The sequence below is a fragment of the Homo sapiens genome, chromosome 12, assembly GCF_000001405.40.
Source record: "Homo sapiens chromosome 12, GRCh38.p14 Primary Assembly".
In the NCBI taxonomy this organism is placed as follows: Eukaryota; Metazoa; Chordata; class Mammalia; order Primates; family Hominidae; genus Homo; species Homo sapiens.
In genome coordinates, this window is record NC_000012.12 from 130,512,976 (window position 1) to 130,531,967 (window position 18,992).

At 46.3% G+C, this 18,992-nt stretch overlaps 1 protein-coding gene across 35 annotated transcripts in view, besides 1 other annotated feature; it reads right to left on the reverse strand.

Annotated features, from left to right (window-relative positions):
- RIMBP2 (RIMS binding protein 2) overlaps positions 1 to 18,992 on the reverse strand; it is a 320,167-nt gene that overhangs the window by 116,843 nt on the left and 184,332 nt on the right. For 26 of the 35 annotated variants that reach the window (XM_047428630.1, NM_001393628.1, NM_001351229.2 and 23 more), the window contains one exon: positions 4,853 to 4,942. The exons of the other annotated variants lie outside the window; for them this stretch is intronic. Coding sequence is in view for 7 of the 26 variants with exons in the window: in XM_047428629.1 (XP_047284585.1) it covers positions 4,853 to 4,942 (90 nt within the window). In the remaining 19 variants the exon portion in view is untranslated. The remainder of the gene's footprint in view (positions 1 to 4,852; positions 4,943 to 18,992) is intronic. 35 annotated transcript variants of the gene reach the window in all.
- Positions 1,365 to 2,063: an enhancer, noted in NCBI's record as "H3K4me1 hESC enhancer chr12:130998885-130999583 (GRCh37/hg19 assembly coordinates)". NCBI's record gives its function as "activates a minimal SCP1, AML or CMV promoter by ChIP-STARR-seq in primed H9 embryonic stem cells {active_cell/tissue: H9 hESC(primed)}" and the evidence as "EXISTENCE:reporter gene assay evidence [ECO:0000049][PMID:30033119]".

An 18,992-nucleotide genomic window follows, 5' to 3' on the forward strand; every position in this document is an offset into this window, starting at 1 on the left:
TTTTTTTACTAGGAAAAAAAATGTTTAAAGAGGGAAATTGCTAGTAAGTTGCATGGTTGCCATCTCATACCAGTGTTTCCTAGCTGTGCCTATACTTCTACAACCTTTTGGGTTTCTGGCCAGCAGGTAAGAGGATTCCCTAGGTTGTAGGAAATTCTGACCCATGCTACAGCATGTGCTCATGGGTCATGAACTTAATGACCTACTAGTGCCCAGCTCCAGAATGTCAGGTACTAACAGGGTTTGAGTGATTCTCCAAGACCTGCTCACCACACACAAACACAACAGCACATTAGCAACCCTGGGCATCAGATCCAGACACTGGACTGGATTTTATTCTCTAAAAAAATCTCATAAGAGTGAACTGTTCTTCACTTAGATCCAGACACTGGACTCATTTCTGTTTCAAAATAGATTCTTGTGGCAGCAACGGTGGCACCAGGTGGAAGAGAAGCTTGGAATATTTGGCATCAGCTACTCAATGTGACGAAAACCTTGAACCTCAGACCTGCTACAGGAACAGTGGCCCAGTGCGGGGAGGAGGGAGCTTTAACAGGCACCTCCTAACCCAAACAGAGAAGAAATTTGAATTATTTTTCTGAAATCAACAAAAGGTTAGTTTTGCAGCTTCAAAGGCATCAAGCATATTCTTTGCACTATGTCTTGGATCCCAGCTCATCGGTTTCCTCCCACAAGGCTGCCTGCCTAAGAGAATCCAATTCAACACTCCAGACAGCCCAACATCACAGTTTGCACCTAAGAACCAATCATTTCCGCACAGGGAAAAATGCTGACACTGCAGTCTCTTTGCATTCATAATTAAGAGCTCTGAGAATTAATTTCCATCTCTTAATCAGTGCTACTGAAAAGCATTTTGCAATTCCAAGCAAGAATCAGATAGGGGAATTGCTGATCCCCAAGTGTCTCCAGGGATCCAGAAGGACACTGTTGTTTCTGCAGGTTTGCATTGACAAGCCTACCCATGAGTCTGGAGGGACAGTTGAATACTTCCATCAGCACAAAGTCACCCCCACACCTTCAGCCTCCCCAGCTACCACAAAGATGCTCAGCCCAAGAGACAGTCTCTGGGGACTGCCACTCCCTCAATGCCTCCCATGCAGGTAGCCAGCCCAGGCACTTGGAAGGAAAGCCAAGCTCCGCAAAGCAGGCTGCAGGACAGATCTGGGGTGCCCCTGCTGCCTCTCTCAAAGCACTGCTATTCCTGTCCATGCCGGGTGAGCTGCTGGGCTCCCTCAGACACCCATAAGAAGCAGAAGCAAAGGCCAGCTCATTTCCTGTGCCTTGCAGCCTTGTTTAAAAGGCCAAGCTGAGAAGACAGCAGGGGGAGAAATTCAAACCTCAAGCAAACAAACAAAGTGGTTTGAATCCTGCGGGAGCAGGGATGTCAAGCTGCACTACCAGCCATCCAGGAAAGGAGGCCTTTGCCTCTGTTGTGAGGGCTGAGCGCTGGGACCCCCACCTCCGCCGGCCCTTGCTGGCCTGGTCAATGCCTGCAGGGCTCAGCTCCAGCACCCCCATCCCCCCACAGCTGGCATTGCCTCTCCAGGTGCAGGAGCCCAGCTCAGGAGTGGAACGTGTACACATGCAGCTATTTTAGTCGTAGGAAGAAAGCCATCCCAGGATCCGACCTCCCTGTGCCCAGCTCCCCACCAGCCCTGTCGTCAGCCTGCGCTGGAGGCCTGAAGCACCCCCATCTTTTTTATATTTTTCCTCCTATTTGAAGAAAAATACTCCTGTCCTAAGAAAGTCACTAAGCCTTATGATGCATTCAGACCTCAGTGTGAGTGAGTTTAGCAGAGCCTTTCCTGCAAGTGTAGGTTTGGAAAGTGGGGGCTGGTGGAAAAATGGGGAAAGCATACTAATTGGAGGGTCAGGATATATTAAGACACTTTTTTTTTGAGACAGAGTCTTGCTCTGTCGCCCAGGCTGGAGTGCAGTGGCGTGATCTCCGCTCACTGCAAGCTCTGCCTCCCGGGTTCATGCCATTCTCCTGCCTCAGCCTCCAGAGTAGCTGGGACTACAGGCACCGGCCACCACGCCCGGCTAATTTTTTGTATTTTTAGTAGAGACGGGGTTTCACCGTGTTAGCCAGGATGGTCTCAATCTCCTGACCTCGTGATCCGCCCGCCTCGGCCTCCCAAAGTGCTGGGATTACAGGAGAGAGTCACTGTGCCCAGCCTAAAACACACCTTTTTAAGAAAAATTATGATAAAATACACATTACATAAAATTTACCATCTTAACTATTTTACATGTAGGTATTTCAGTGGCATTAAGGACATTCGCACTGTTTTACAACTGTCACTACCACCCATCTCTAGAACTCTCTTCCTCTTCCCCAACTGAAACTCTGTCTTCATTAAACAGCATCTCCCTATCCCCCCTCTACCCAGCCCCTGGCACCTCCATTCTACTGTTTGTCTCTATGGCTCTGATGACTCTAGGAACCTCATATAAGTGGAATCAAACAGTGTTTGCCCTTTGGGACTGGCTTATTCACTTAGCAAAATGTCCCCAAGGTTCATCCATGCAGTAGCGTGTGTCAGAGTTTCCTTCCTTTTCAAGGGTCAGTAATATTCCATTGGACACATATGTCACATGTTGTTTATTCACTCGTCCATCAGTGGAAATGTGGGTTATTTCCACCTTTTGGCTACTATAAATTTGTAACATGTACATATATCTATTTGAGACCCTCCTTTTCAATTTTTTTTTTCTTGAGACTGAGTTTTGCTCTGTTGCCCAGGCTGGAGTGCAATGGCATGATCTCGGCTCACTGCAACCTCAACCTCCCAGGTTCAAGCGATTCTCCTGCCTCAGCCTCCCAAGTAGCTGGGATTCCAGGCGTGCACCACCACACCTAGCTAATTTTTGTATTTTTAGTAGAGATGGGGTTTTGCCATGTTAGCCAGGCTGGTCTCCAACTTCTGACCTCAGGTGATCCACTCACCTCAGCCTCTCAAAGGGCTGGGATTACAGGTGTGAGCCACCACACGTGACTGCCTTTTCAATTCTTATACCAGGATTGGGATTGCTAGATCATATGCAATTTTATTTTTAATTTTTTGAGCAAATTCCATACTGTTTTCTATAGTGGTTGCACCATTTTACATTCCCAGCAACAATGTGCAGGATTCCAGTTTCCCTACATCCTCATCAACACTTGTAATTTCCTAAAAAACATACCTTTAAAAAATGGCCAGACAGGAAGGCAAGAAAATAAGTGTCAAATCAAGACAACTCTAATTTTTATATTTAATCACTAGAGCTCAGTTATTCCTTGAAATATGCATGGGCAAAGCTGCAAAATTAACAGCTTAAAACAACCCATCATTCAATAGATGTTGACTGAGCACCCGCTATGCATCCTTTGAAGGTACAGGAGAGACAGTCATGGATGTAACAGCAAAGCTCTCTGCAATCCCAAGCCCACATTCTCGTAGGAGACAGACAAACACATAAGTGAAGACCCGTGATAGACTAAGATAGCAAGAAAAGATACAAAGAACATGAAAACAGGTGTTGTCACATAGAGAAAAAAGGGATGGAGGGAGGGCTGTTAGAGTGGACGTTAGAGCCACGAATCCTTACCAGGAGGGACGCGTAACCTGAGGGTTGAAAGGCAAGAAGCTCCCAGCTGTTGAAGATGATGGAGTGGAGTGTTCTAAGCAGAGACAACCATCAAATGCTGAGACAAGCTTAGGGATCCAAGGAACAAAAGTAAGTCAGAGGTGGACGAGAGGTAGCAAGATGGACAGGATGGCAGCCACAGGGAGAAGCCTCAGTTTTATTTATGGAAGGCATTGGAAGGGTCAGAGGATTGCATGATCCAGAGGGCATCACAAGATCACTCCAGTTGCCATAGGGAAAAGACCACAGGATGACAAGGGAGCTAGACAGGCCAGTTAGGAAATGGCTTTGGCATCTGGGAAAGAGAAGATGACCACAGTGGAGAGGAGGGGGAGGAGAGCTGGGGCACGTCTGGTGCTGAGATGAGTGGTTGGTGCGCTCCATGGTTTGAATGCATCCCCCAAATTCCATGTGTGGGAAACTTAATCCTCAACAGGGCAGTACTGAGAGGTGGGGCCTTTAAGAGGTGACTGAATCATGAGCACTCTGCCCTCATGAATGGATAGGTCCATTCATGGATTAATGGATCAATGTGTTAATGGACCAGTGGGTTATCAGGGGAGTGGAACTGCTGGCTTAATAAGAAGAGGAAGAGAGCCCTGAGCTGGTATGTGAGCACACTCAGTCCCCTTGCCGCGGGGCACCCTATACCACCTTGGGACCCTACAGAGTCCTCATCAGCAAGAAGGTCCTCACCAGATGCAGCCCCTCAACCTTAGATTCTCAGCCTCCATAGCTTAAGAAATAGATTCCTTTTCTTTATAAAGTACCAAGTTTCAGGTATTCTGTTATAAGCAACAGAAAACAGACTTGAGCAGGGAGTTAGATTCGGATGAAGAAAGAGCAGCGCCCAGGAGGCCCCATCATGGAGGCTCAGGCAACCAGGAGTGGCCACACCATTCACTGGGGAGAAAGTGGTTTGGGAGAGTGGGCACCAATGGGTTTGTTCTGCCTTGCTGTTAAAGATACAGGTGCCTAATAGACTTCCAAGCAGAGATAACCAGCAGATAGTGGATGAGACATCACTGGGTGCCTCACGTGCTGGTCATGTGAAGAAGTGAGAGAGACCTGGCTCAGCCTCTCAGGCCACCTTCACACTGATGTTCAGTGATTCTTCCCTGCCCCTTCCCAGTTGTTCCTCCCTGGCCCAGCCCGCTCCCTCCAGGGCCCCAGATGGTCTGTGGACAGTGGTATCAGCTACCTTGTCATGCTGCCGGGCCCTTGTGGGAAGGCCTGCATGATGGGATCTCAGGAGATACTCTCCCTGGGTGGCATCCTTCAGTTCATTTTCCTAGGACAAAAGGAAAGGACATGTGAGATGGTGCCCCCATGTTTAGAGACTTGGTAGAGTGCAGTGGTTAGGAGCTCCAATGTGGTAATGAGACCCAAGGTTGGGCACTGATTCTGCAATCCATAAGCTGTGTATGAGTTGGGACTGATTTCTCTCTTTTTTCCAAACCATAAGTTTCCAAATCTACAAAAGGCAATCATGTTATATTATACGATGATTAGAATATAATACAATAATACATATTAATCACTTAGTGTCTGTGTCCTAAAAAAGCAACGGAACTTCTCGCCAATTGGAGTTGTTAATAAGCTTTGACCCATCCTTTTTCCCGTGAACACTGCTCCAAACATACAGCCACAATAAACAATAGACAGAGAAAGTTTAGAAATATTTAGCCACTCAAAAATAAGATAAAGCATTCTAAGGACTAAATGGCTAGACCACAATGTGGTGAGCGGAACTTCTGGAACCTTCTAGATTCAGAGTCCAAAAATAGGCAGGGAGAATTAAGAGTCCAGCTTTTTCAAGATATCCAAGATTCAATGTATTCCACATAAGACAAGAGACATGAACTAAGGTCACCACATGACCTGAGGCAACAGTTAAGCCCCCAAAGAAAGCTGAAAATAATCCATCACCTCCACCTAGAGCCAGAGCTTTTATGGGGTCATGCACCTAGAGAGGCAAGAGGGAGAAAACTCATTTTTAGGCTCAGTTTTAGGACTTGTCTTACTCTCTACTATCACCATGGCACAGGAACTCGGAGCTGCCAATAATAAAATCTAATTCAAGACTGAGATCACCTAGGGTGTGGTACAGTAACTACAAATAAGTAAGACAGGGAGAGTGAGCACAGAGATGGGATTAAGAATCTCTCATTCAAGATGAGTCTGAAAAGAGAAATTCCAGAACACATAAAGAGAACTAACCCTACTAAAGAGATCTCATAAACTTAATAATCAGGATAAATTTACTCCAGAGGAAATAAAAATAATAAAGCAACCTGAAAAGGACTTCAATAAGTTTAGAATCCTAAAAGAAGGAATGGCATCCATTCCAAAAGGAAGAGAAGCAGAAGGGATAATCAATGACTCACAGTGGAAGGCAGCTGGAACCACACCAGCTACCAGCTGTCAGGCTGAGAACTTCTCTTTTTCCCAATTGTTCAAGTTTGTTCTCTGTTCACACCCTAAATAAATTAATACTGGTGGGACACCCACATCTTGAATTGATCTGGTTCATCTCTGTTACAATATTTCGAGTGCTCAGAGTCTAGGCTCCATTCACACATCAGAAAAGCAGCAAGAAATCACGTGGTTTCAACACTTCCCACTAGGAGAGAGGCTCCTCCTGGCCATTTTCAGCTTCCATTTTTCAGTCAACCTTCCTTTTTTCTTAGCCACAGTCATAATGAGCTCCGCTACTCTGTGGTAGCTACATTTTCACAGCAATAAAACACAGCGAAGGAACCCAAACATAAAAGACGGTGGTGCTTTGTTCCGGGAAACAATGATTACCCAACCTTAGGGAAAGTGATTGATAATGGAGCAATTCCCTTCTGTCTTCTGAGATGGTCTGGATGGCATAACATTTATTGTTGCCTTTCTCAAGTAAAGCAGATCATAATGTAGTCCCACACTGGTTGCTTGAGAGAACTGCAGCCTCTTCAGCATGTCCCACATGGGGGAATCCCTGGAGGTCTTAAGGGGATGGGATGGGTGTACTAATCAAAATACCTGGCTGCTGACCTCAGAGACCAACATGCCCCAAGGTAAACTAAGGCAGCAATAGCTCAGAGAATTTGAGAACAAGAGACATTTGAAATAGGGGTTAGATTATGGGTTCTGAGGTCAAATTGCCTAAATACAAATGGGAGCTCTCCTTAAATGTGACCTTGGACAAGCTGCCTGGCCTCTCTGCACTCTCTGTGACTTAAGGAGGTAAAAGCTGCAACCCTAGCAGATGTTGTGAGGATTCAAGGACATCAATCTCACGGAACACAGAGCACATCTTACTGCACAGGGTCAAGGCTCAAACAAGTGGCCCCTTCCCTCCTGAAGGCATTGCAATGACTGCCTGCCTCTTCCACGTTCTGCCACCACACAGCCACCTGGTTCATGCCATCCGCCTCTCTCTGCATCGCATTTAGGAAGAGTGAATTGCAAGAAAGGAGCACAGGGAAGATAAACAAGGCTGGTCTTTCACCCAATTTTCTGGTGGTTATAGAAATGCTTACATCTATTTATTTTATTTATATTCCATCTCAGTGATTCAAGGTCAGTTGCTTATCCTGATGAAATGAAATCAGTCTTTTCAGGAAAAAAGCTCAGGATCTAAATCCTGTCCAGGAAACACCAACCCATGATATCCCAATGCAAAGGGAGAGAAACATCTTCGTCTCTTTCCAATGTAGCTTCCCAAATTGGTCCAAGCGTGAACAGGCACTTCAGATACCACTTACTATACTGGGCACACCCTACCCTAAAAAAGCCAGTCCAGCACTCTGGAAAGCCAAGGAGGGCAGATCACCTGAGGTCAGGAGTTCAAGACCAGCCTGGTCATGGTGAAACCCCGCCTCTACTAAAAACACACACACACACAAAAATTAGCCAGGCGTGGTGGTGGGCACCTGTAATCCCAGCTACTCAGGAGGCTGAGGCAGGAGAATCACTTGAACCCGGGAGGCAGAGGTTGCAGTGAGCTGAGATCACGCCATTGTACTCCAGCCTGGGCAACAAGAGTGAAACTCCATCTCAAAAAAAAAAAAAAAAAAAAAAGCCAGTCACAGGGAGATCTACTTGAAACTAACGACCCCCTACCTCACACTTCAAGAATCACAAAAAACTTAGCCAAGTGCCAAAGCCCTTCCTACCATGATGGTAAAGGAAACCCATTCAGTGACACAGACAGCCAGGTAAAGGCACAAAGAAAACAGCAAAGGTACCAGCTTGAGCCTTCTCATACTATGAGACTTTATTTGCCAGATTATGAGCATCCCACGTTGTCCATGCTTACCCTGAAGAAGCCCAGAGGTGGGCATGGGGACGTGTGGTTCCACAAGCAGCTCAGCAGGGAAGCCGGCATTGGTCCCCACTGTCCCCTGCAGTGGCAGGCATGGATACCACCCTGACATGCATGTGTTTGCAGGCCTTGGGGGGGAAATCAGAAAATGCCTACCTCTCACCCTTCTGATCCTGTGAAGATGCTGAAAGGCAAGATGGCTTAACCTGGAAGGCCTCATAACTGACCCTGTGTGCTACCAGAGCTGTCCACACAGGGAGGTGGACACTACCCCAATCAAATCAAGCCTTTCTGAATCAATCAGCACCACTGAAGAAATTTTGCAGGAATACCAAGAAATGCAGATCACCTATGTGCTGGTTGCACGCTTGAGATCAGAAGGCCTCCAAATGTGGGCCTGGAATCGCAACACAACAAAACGAGAGTCCCCCAGCAGCCGGCACCAGTGGCACTAGCCGTGACAGTTCCCAGGAGGAGGAAGAGGAGGATTGGGGGTGTGGGGGGTCTAATATAATCTGACACTCTGATTAACAAGCTTTTCTACAGCCTAGGGGGAGGCACCAGCACGTCAGTCAGATCACACAAACGCACGCGTGGTCCCACACCACAATGTAACTGACACACTTGCTGGGTTCCCCCATAGTGGGGCTTTGACGCTGTTGAGTACTGACCACATCTGAGTGCTAGTGGTCGAGTGTGATGCCTCATGCCCCCTGCCTAGTGACAGGAAGCCCATGACTCCCACACTGCTGGGACCCTGACGGGGAGAACTTTCTGAGCTCCAGCTGTAGGCACCACCCCCGTCTTAGCTTTGTGACCTGAAATAACAATTGTGAAAAGAGAAAACCCAGCTTCCAGATATCTTCTTGCTTCTTCAGAAATGTAATGGCTTTTTTTCCAGGGAAGGACATGTAAGCATTGCAATGGAATCGTTTCAGTCTCTAATCCTTTGAGGTTAAAGCCACACAAAAGAGGGTTTAGGGTTTCCCAGCCAGTGGATGCCCTCATGAGACAGAGCCTACCCTGTAAGAATCAAAACACACAGTCTGTGGAATTTAATTGTCTGCAGCCACAAAAAGGAAGGGCACTTCCTTACCTCCACTTATGCCCATCAGAGCATTCTGGGATTGGATGTGAGGACTCCTAGGGCCACATGTCCCTGAAATCCCCCTCCCAGGGCAGCTACAGAACGTGCCAGTTAAGGAGATATTTTAATCCATTAATATCCACTAACACATTAAACAGGAATAGCCTTATTTGATTTTCTAGCTGCTGTGTTGCAAAATCATGGGCAAAAAGTGAATTCTAATGAGGATGAGGGAGGAAGGAAAAGGGCCAAGGCAAGCCTTTCAAACGCCACTGCCCACAGGGAGAGCCGTGTAACACACTCAGTGGACAGGGCCAGAGGTGCTAGAGGTTCGGGGAACATGGCAACCGGCCAGCCCAGGCCCCAGTCTTAGAGGGCAGCTGCGACCCTGTCCCTCCTGCGGGTGCCACGTGGGGACGGGAACTGGCCCTGACAGCTGTCTGTGTCTTTAGGAGCTGGGACACTGGGTTTCCATCCAAAACATCCCTGTTTGGATATGGTGGCTACTAACTCAAAACACACATACCATGGGCTCCTTCCCAAAATAGACACATCTACAGGCGGAATTCGACTTCAAGGCGGGGCGCTGCGTAAAAGCAGCTGGACTTGTGCAGAGTCCAAGTGCAGGTGGGGTGAGGGGAGGTGCAGGGAGCCCCAGGGAGGCACGGACTTCCTGTGCGCAGGGAGAGGAGGAGGAGGTGGGTTTCCACGGAGGATGGCCCACAGTGCCTGAGGCTGTCTCCCTGCCTGCTGTGGACTGAATTGCATCTCCCCAAATTCGTACTTTGAAGCCCTAGCCCCCAGGGTGACTCTATTTGGAGATGGGACTCTTAGGAGGTAAGGAAGGTTACATGAGGTCATGAGATCCTAATCCAACAGGGACCGGGGCTTTCTAAGAGGAGGACGATCTCGGTCTCGCTGCCTGCCTCTCTTTCCCCCTCTCTCTCAGTCTCACTCTGCCTCGGTTTTAGTTTTTCTTTCTGCCTCTATGTCTATCTCTCTGTTCATTTTTCTGGCTCTGTCTCTATGTCTCTCTGCCTCTCTGTCTCTGTCTCCACGTCTCTGTTTCTCTGCTTCTTCTGTCTCTCCCAGTCTCACTCTGCCTCTCTCTCTCTCTCTGCCTCCATGTCTGTCTGTGTCTCTGTTTCTCTGCCTCTCTGTCTCTATTTCTCTGTGTTGGGGGGGGTTTCTCTGCCTCCATCTCTCTCTGTCCCCTACCCACTACCTGGCCGTGTGAGGACACAGTGAGAAAACAGCCATCTGCAAGTCAAGAAGCGGCTCGCACCAGGAACCGAATCAGCCAGCACCTTGGTCTTAGACTTCCAGCCTCCAGGACTGAGAGAGAGGAGAGCTCTGTCATTTAAGCTGCCCGGTCTGTGGGATCCTGCTATGGCAGCCTGAGCTAGTGTATAGCCTCTGCTAAAGCAACGAGACATGGACAGGAGCCTTCACAGTGTCTCCCGAGGCAGCTCAAGGGCTCGTCAAGGAAGAAACTGGGTCTTCTGAAGACACCCCCTTCCCCATCAGGAGCTCCAGTTAAATCCCCATTTCAATGGACAAGGTGGCCGCTTCTCTGGGGGAGAAACTGACAAGAGAAAGGAAAAAGCACGTTCTTTCAATAAACTTGTCAATTTTATTCATTTCAATAATCCCTCCACCACCACCACTGAGTGTGTATGTGTCAGTACCGGGCTCAGCAGGGGGCCCTGAGTGAGTGGGTGAGGAGCACCCTCTGCCCCCAGCCTTGTGGGTGCAGCAGACAGCGCAGGGCATTCTGGGTTGAGATGTCAGGAACGCCAGTTGCTATGGGGAGAGGTGAGAGGAATTCTCGGTATCTCCTGATACAGGTCTGGTCTCAGAGGTGGGGAAGAGGGTCCACCCAGCACAAATACATAACAAAGGCATGTAAGGGCACAGCAAGGTCTCTGGCTCTCAGGATCTGGTATCCACGCTACAGGATTCAAAACCATGAACATCCAATCTCCTGGCCACACTGGACAGGCCCCAGCAAGATGCTTCCTCGCAGCCTCTGCTCTGCTGGCCTCAAAGAGGTTGCCTCCAGATGCCGGGGTGGTGCTCCCAGCCCTGGAGATGGACACTGCTCCTGAGTAGGGCAGGATTTGGACACGGGAAGCTCCTCAGTGAGAGTGGACATGGTAATTAACCCACCACGTCTTTCTGATCACATGAATGCAATTAATTCTTGTGTAAATGAGATGCAACCTCCCAAGAGTACAGAAGCTTCTTCTCTGCTCTTCTTTGTCCTCTACCTGTGGTTCCAGAGGCATGAGCCAGGCCAGATTCCCAGTGGCCTCAAGCAGAGCCGAGCCAGGCCAGATTCCCGGTGGCCTCAAGCAGAGCCCAGCCAGGCTGCAGTGAGCAGGGGATACACCTCATGAGTGACCAGCCCCATGCACAGACCCACAGTGGAGAGGACACACCACATGCAGAGAGCTACAGACAGCTGGGCTCTGGCTGGACAGGCACTGGGGGTAGCAGACGTGAAGAGGCAAGAAGGGTTGGGTGGCGAGGACTTCATGAACCTCACTGAGGAGTTTGTACTTTATTTAGAATGAAATGCAGAAGCTGTCAAAGGTGTTTAAGTGAAATAATAGAAAAATAATATCTGCACTTGGGAAATACTGTCCTGGGTGTTAAGGGGATTGAAGAAGGGTCAGGCTGGAGTCAAAGAGACCAATTTGCACTCATTTAGGGGACAAGTGCCAGTGGCCAGAATTGAGATTATGGCAGCAGAAAGCAGAAAGAGGAAGGCGGGTACAGGAGTTATTAAAGCAAGTGAAATAGCATGGCTTGGTGACGAGAAAAGAAGGTGCCACATTCTGGCTTGGGGCTGCAGAGGCAGGGAGGAGGGAGAAAGTGCAGGTTTAAGGGATGGGGCACGTTCGGTTGCGCTGGGGCTTGGTGAGTGTGAGACCCCACGTGAGGCCCGGTGGGAATGCTCAGGGGACAGGTCCCCACATGGCCCAGAGCTCAGGAAGGAGAGCCTGACCCAGACCCAGATGTGAAAGTTGCACTGATACCGACACCACTTTGAGTCACAGGAGGGGAGGAGCTCTCAGCAAGATTAAGGAGCAGGAGACAGAGCTGGGAGAAGCCCAAGCATCACAAATGGGCATGAGCCGTTCCTGTAGAGTGCAGGGCAGAAGCAATGGGAAGCCAGCTCCAGGCTTTTCTAGGAGCTGAGTGACCAGAGCCTTGAGAGTGGGGACCGGCAGGTCAGCTACTGCCCAGAAGCCAAGCAGCATTGCGGGCATCTCCGTGACCTCCAGGAGAGGCTCTGGTGATGGGATAAGCAGAGGGCAGCATCAATGGGTGGGAGATAAAGAGGAAGAGGGAGGAGATGCTTTTTTGCAGAGTGCTGGGTGAGAAGAGGCGCAGAGAGACAAGGTCATGCTTAGAGCCTCCTAGGGGCATGGATGACTAAGGAAGGTAGAGAATGCCCTGGAGGCAGTCACAGAGTCAGTAACTCCTCCTTCCTCCCACAGGCGAGTGGAATGTGGGTAGCTGCCGGGAACAGCAGCCCTCCAGGAAGCCCAGTCAAGGCTGAGGGTGGTAACGTTCATGGGGGCATTGGCAGGTGCAGATGGACACATGGGGAAGGCATGAGGGCAGCAGAGAGAAGGACGGGGCACTTGGGGATGAGATCGTATGGGGGGAGATGACCCAAGGGGCTCATGTTGGATGATGCAGCAGCTTTGATCCCCTGGGCTTCTACGCTGGGCCAAGAACCAACATAAGCTCTTTGCTTTCCTCCTCTTCTTTGTGAAATCTCATCCAGTCCTCTCAGCACTGCCATGTGGCAGACATTCTTGCTATCCTGCTTGTCAAGGGAAGAAATTCAAGCTCAAGGAGGTTAAGTAACTGAGCGAGCAGCCTCCCCCGAGCATGTGGAGGGGTGGGACTCAAGCCCGGGCTGTGCAGCTGTCAGGTTTGAGACCCCCTCCTCCCTGCCCCAATTTGCCTCTTATTCTCCTGAGGAAGAGCATCATCCAGCCACTCCCTTGGTCCCAAGGCCCAGAGGAAGGTTCAGAAATGCCTCCAGTTGGCAGGGGTGGGGGGTTCTGGAAAGCCTGGGGTATCTTCCCTTGCACTAGAGACTACAGATACAGTCTTGGGGGCCTACAAAAATATTTCCTGGTATTTTTAGTTCCATGAAATCTAAAAGAATATATAAAGGAACAATTTTGTACCCTATTCAGGACGAAAGCCAACATCTACATTTGGGTTTGTGGGCCCTCCTGTGCCGGCCTGAAGAATCACCGTATTGACTGTCCTGAGATGCTGAAAGACAATGAAAGGTAACTCCAATGGTGCTTTTGTGCTCGATGAAAGCCAGATGACTTCTACAGGCTCAGGCATCAAAGATCTTGCAAGAGTTTGAAAGAGATCAGTGGTAGGAATTGAGTCAACTTCCAGCCAACTGTACAAAGGCATTAACTTTACTTATAAGAGGAAATGTGATTTAAGTTAAATATCATATGACACATTAAGTCACAGCGAGTTTGGGTTTTGAATTTTATTGGTGTCTTAAAGTTGTTTCTCTTTGATCTGCTCATTCATTTTGGCCTTATGTTTTAGAAAAGCCATAAAAATTTTATAACCAGTTTTATCTCTGGACACATGTAATTACATTATGAATTATAAATATATAACCATATTATGCTCAAACATAGACTATATAGTTATAATATACAAGTCTGGTAGAATAATATTATATAAGAATGATGTAATTATCAATTATAATAACGTAAAATAAAAATAATCTAAGTCAACACTGGAGTGTGCTTGGTAATATTTTTTCTTTCTGAAAAGGCTTCATAAGTGGTTCTAGCCTAAAGGCATGGGTGGGAGAGTAAAGTGAAGGAAGGGAAGGGAAGAAAAGCCGCTGGTGGGAAGCCTGGAGAGGGAGCCTGAACTAAGGAGAGAAGGAGAAACCACAGGGTGGAAGGCGAGTGGTTGCTGCTGTCCAGGGTCCTGATGGTCACTGAGCCCTACTCCCGCCCGCCCCTTGAGGTTAAGGCCGAGGGCAGTCAGCTAAGTCATCCCAGGGTGTGGAGGGACCGTTGGGACTTGGAGGACCTGGGTTTGAAGCCTATCCTAACACTGACCAGATGTAATTTGGGGAAAATTATTAAGCCTAAGTATTCTTGGCAATTTAAATGAGATAATTCATATAAATGTATTCTTCAAGTCGTAAAGGACAATTTGAATGTGAAATACTATGCTAATAAAGGGACTGGCACTAAAACAATTGCTTCTGGTTTCCCAGTGTCGGGGGAGGGTTCTGGGGGAGGCTGGAGAGAGCAACTCCAAACTTCTCAGTTCCCTTCTATTTTCAGAAATTTGCTTCAACCATGACTGATACATGCTATTCCTGATCTGTTTGATATTTCAGCATTGCACATATGCCAATAATGCAATTGCAGGGAAGCACATGGTGCTATTTAAAAACTGTGTTCCTAACACAAGTTAGAGACAAGCTCAAGTGGAAAAATATAATACATGAAGCAGATTCTCAGGTGAGTTTATGACATTTACATTCACCTTTTAAATAAGGCTTCTCTCAGCTTCTGCACAGCAAAAGAAACTATCATCAGAGCAAACAGACAACCTGCAGAATGGGAGGAAATTTTTGCAATCTATCCATTTGACACGAGTCTGATATCCAGAATCTACAAGGAACTTAAACAGACTTACAAGAGAAAAAAAAAAAAACATTAAAAAGTGGGCAAAGAACATGAACAGAAACTTCTCAAAAGAAGACATTTATGTGGCCAACAAACATATGCAAAAAAGCTCAACATCACTGATCATTACAGAAATGCAAATTAAAACCACAATGAGATACCATCTCATAACAGTCAGAATGGCGATTACTAAAAAGTCAGTCAAGAAACAACAGATGCTAGCAAGGCTGTGGAGAAATACAAACACTTTTACACTGTTGATGGGGATGTAAATTAGTTCAACTGTTGTGGAAGACAGTGTGATGATTCCTTGAAGACCTAGAACCAGAAATATCATTTGACCCAGCAATCTCATTACTGGTTATATACCCAAAGAAATATAAATCATTCTATTATAAAGATACATGCAAGCATATGTTCACTGCAGCACCATTCACAATAGCAAAGACATGGAATCAACCCAAATGCCCATCAGTGATAGACTTGATAAAGAAAACATGGTACGTATACACCATGGAATACTATGCAGCCATAAAAAGGAATGAGATCATGTCCTTTGCAGGGACATGGATGGAGCTGGAAGCCATTATCTTCAGTAAATTAATGCAGGAACAAAAAACTAAACACCACATGTTCTCACTTAGAAGTGGGAGCTGAATGATGAGAAGAGAACACATGGACATAGGGAGGGGAACAACACACACTGGGGCCTGTTGGAGGTTGAGGGTAGGGGAAGGGAGAGAATCAGGAAAAATAGCTAATGCATGCTGGGCTTAATACCTAGGTGATGAGTTGATAGGTGCAGCAAACCACCATGGCACATGTTTACCTATGTAACAAACCTGCATGTCCTGCACATGTACCCCATAACTTAAAATAAAAATGTCTCTCAATAATTGTACTTCATCAACTTACATGTATCTGCAATGCATACTCTGACTTCCAAGTGGAAAAGAAACATAGTTAAATTTATATTTGCTTCATATTGGTCAGTATAATCAGAACACAGGCAGCCCCAAAGGGAACTCTTTTCTACCAAAACAATGGGGTTGAACTTAGGAGAGAACAATTATGCCACACAGCTGAGGAGGTCAAAAATGGGAACCCTCATATATTTCCAGTGGAGATGTAAAATGGTGCAGCCACTGCAGAAAACAGTTTAGTGGTTCCCTAAAAAGTTCAACAGACTCACTACATTACCCAGCAATTCACTCCCAGGCTTATGCCCAGAGCATTGGAAACAGGTATTCAAATACTTATATACAAATGTCACGGCAGCATTATTCATAATAACCAAAATTCAGAAACAACCCAAGTGTCGATTGATGGATGAATGGATAAGCCAAATGTGGTCTGTCCATAAAGTGGAAGATTCTTCAGCCTACAGAAGGAATGACGTGCTGATTCACACCACAACAGGGATGAACCTCAAAAAATGACATGCTGATTCATGCCACAACAGGGATGAACCTCAAAAAATGACATGCTGATTCATGCCACAACAGGAATGAACCTCAAAAAATGACATGCTGATTCACGCTACAACAGGGATGAACCTCAGAATGACATCCTGATTCACGCTACAACAGGGATGAACCTCAAAAACATCACACTAGGTAGACAAAGCCAGACACAAATGTTCACATGTATGATTCCACATACATGAGATATTCAAGATAGGCAAATCTGCAGAGACAGAAAGCAGATTCGTGGCTGTCAGGGCTGGAAGGAGGAAGGAAAGAGGAGGGGCTACCTGGCTGGTACAGGGTTTCCTTTGGGATGATGAAGATGTTTTGGAACTAGATAGAGGTGATGGCCACACAATGTTGCAAATGTACTAAATGCCACTGAATTGTTCACTATAAATGGTTAATTTTATGTTATGTCAATTTTACGTCAATTTCTTTTTAAAAGATACCACCCAACCTCCCAGCAAAAGAGTCTGAAGGGCTATAAGGCATCAGTCCCCAACATTTTGGGCACCAGTGACCAGCTTCACGGAAGACAAGTTTTCCACAGACTGGGGTGGGGGGAATGGTTTTGGGATGAAACTTCTATCTCAGATCATCAGGCATTAGGTTCTCATAAGGAGTGTGCAAACTAGATCCCTCACATGTGCAGTTCACTCTCCTATGAGAATCTTATGCCGCCGCTGATCTGATAGAAGGCAGAGCTCAAGCGATCATGCTTATTCGCCTGCTGTTCACCTCCTGCTGTGCAGCCCAGTTCCTAACAGGCCACAGACCTGTGCTGGTCCATGGCCCAGGGGTTGGTGACCCACACTATAAGGGAAAAGAGACAAACCTATATCCCAACAGTATGTTTCCCTGGGTGTCTCCTGTTGAAAGAATCTCACCTGAGTGCCACTCTGGTGTGTAAGGACATCCATTCTTGGGACAGTGGAACCTCTAAACACAACCAGCCACTGCATTTGGTTCTCTACCAATCAACAACAATCTGCGCCAATACTAGAGGGAAAACTTCGCCAGGGGAACTTACCGAGACTTGATATGTTCAATATGGCTCCTTCCCTAGGGATTTGCAAGGGTAATTTTTTTCTATATGTGATTTTGGTATAATGTGTTGACTTTAGAACTAAACCCCTGCACAAAATGTGACTCTACCAAATGCTTGTTCAGACTATACAATGCATAGTAATTTATAAGCTATTTTCCCCTAACTCCCAAAAAATGACTTAAGAATGCTTATACTAAAAATATTTATACAATAAGGCAGCTAAGAATAACAATTTTTAAAAGAAAAAGGGGACAATATATAGAAAACCTTATACCAGGAAATCACATAAAAAGGGTTTTTACCTATTGACTGAACATTACATTTATGCTCTGAGCTTGCCAGCTGCTAGTGCCTGAGGGAAAACCTATCAATTATAACTTTATTAACATGAAGGATGTGCCTCCTAGGATTCTGCCACAAATGACAAAGCAATGAAAAATATTTGATTGCCTTTTTTTAAAAAATCACTTGCTTTTTCAAGAGCTGATTTATGAGAACTGCTGCAATATGGTACTGCTCCCTAAAGAGCTTCTGTCTTCTCACCTTCTCCTTCCAACCTAGGGGTTTTTCTTCACCACACTTCAAATTCTTGAGCAAGGCCACATTCAGTTATATGAGCAACTGAAACTGGTGGTTCTGCAAGCTGGTCCATGGTGCAGATTCAGGCTGTGAACTTGGACAAATTGAGCAGCTCTTCATGTTGCCTGCTCATTCAAGATGACCATGCTTCTCTCCCCAAGGACTGATCACTTTGATTGATGACCGATTGAATTTGCCTTATGTACAGGGTGACTCAGAGACCTCCAAGTATTAGAAAATGTGTCCTTAGTTTAGATCCAAATCTATCTTCTGCTCATCAAGTGATATATCTATGGCCATAGAAATCAGACAAAATTCCTTTCCAGATGGATTTTTTCAGATATTTTTGTTAACTTGTTAAATTGAGGTAAAACATACATGAAATGCACAAATCATAGGTGTACAACTCCATTAACGTTTACAAAGTACACATACCTGTATAACCATGACCCAGATGAAGAAGTAGGACATTCGCTGCCACCTCAAAACCTCTCCCCTGCCTCCTCCCAGCTGAGAGTCCCCAAAAGGTAACCACTGTTCTGATTTCTAGTCCCATGCATGTGTTTTGCCTGTTTTTCTATTCTATGTAAATGTAATAAAATATAGATTTTTAATGTCTGGATATTTATCTCAACATTTTATCTAGGACGCACCCACATCTGTGAAATAGCAGCCCTTCATTACTGTGTAGTATCCTCTTGTATAAATAATCTGAGATTTATCTATTTATGTTCAACTATTATTAAACATTAGGATGATTCCAGTTTGAGACCATTAAAAATAATGCTGCAAAGAACATTCTTGAGCACGTTTTCTTGGAGGCACATGTACATGTTTCTCATAATTACTCACCTAGGAATAGAACAGTGGTGCCTGCAGAGGTATGAACAGAGCAAAGTTCACCCATGTCATAGATTTTGTCTTCTAAAAGCCAAATGGTGGTGCTTTCAGAGATTCTAGTAGGTGTCCCTTCCATGAGAGTCAAAACCCAGATGCCTCTAGGAGTTACGTCTAATGAGATGCGTATGTTTAGCCTCTAGGAGTTACGTCTAATGAGATGCGTATGTTTAGCCTCTAGGAGTTACGTCTAATGAGATGCGTATGTTTAGCCTCTAGGAGGTACGTCTAATGAGATGCG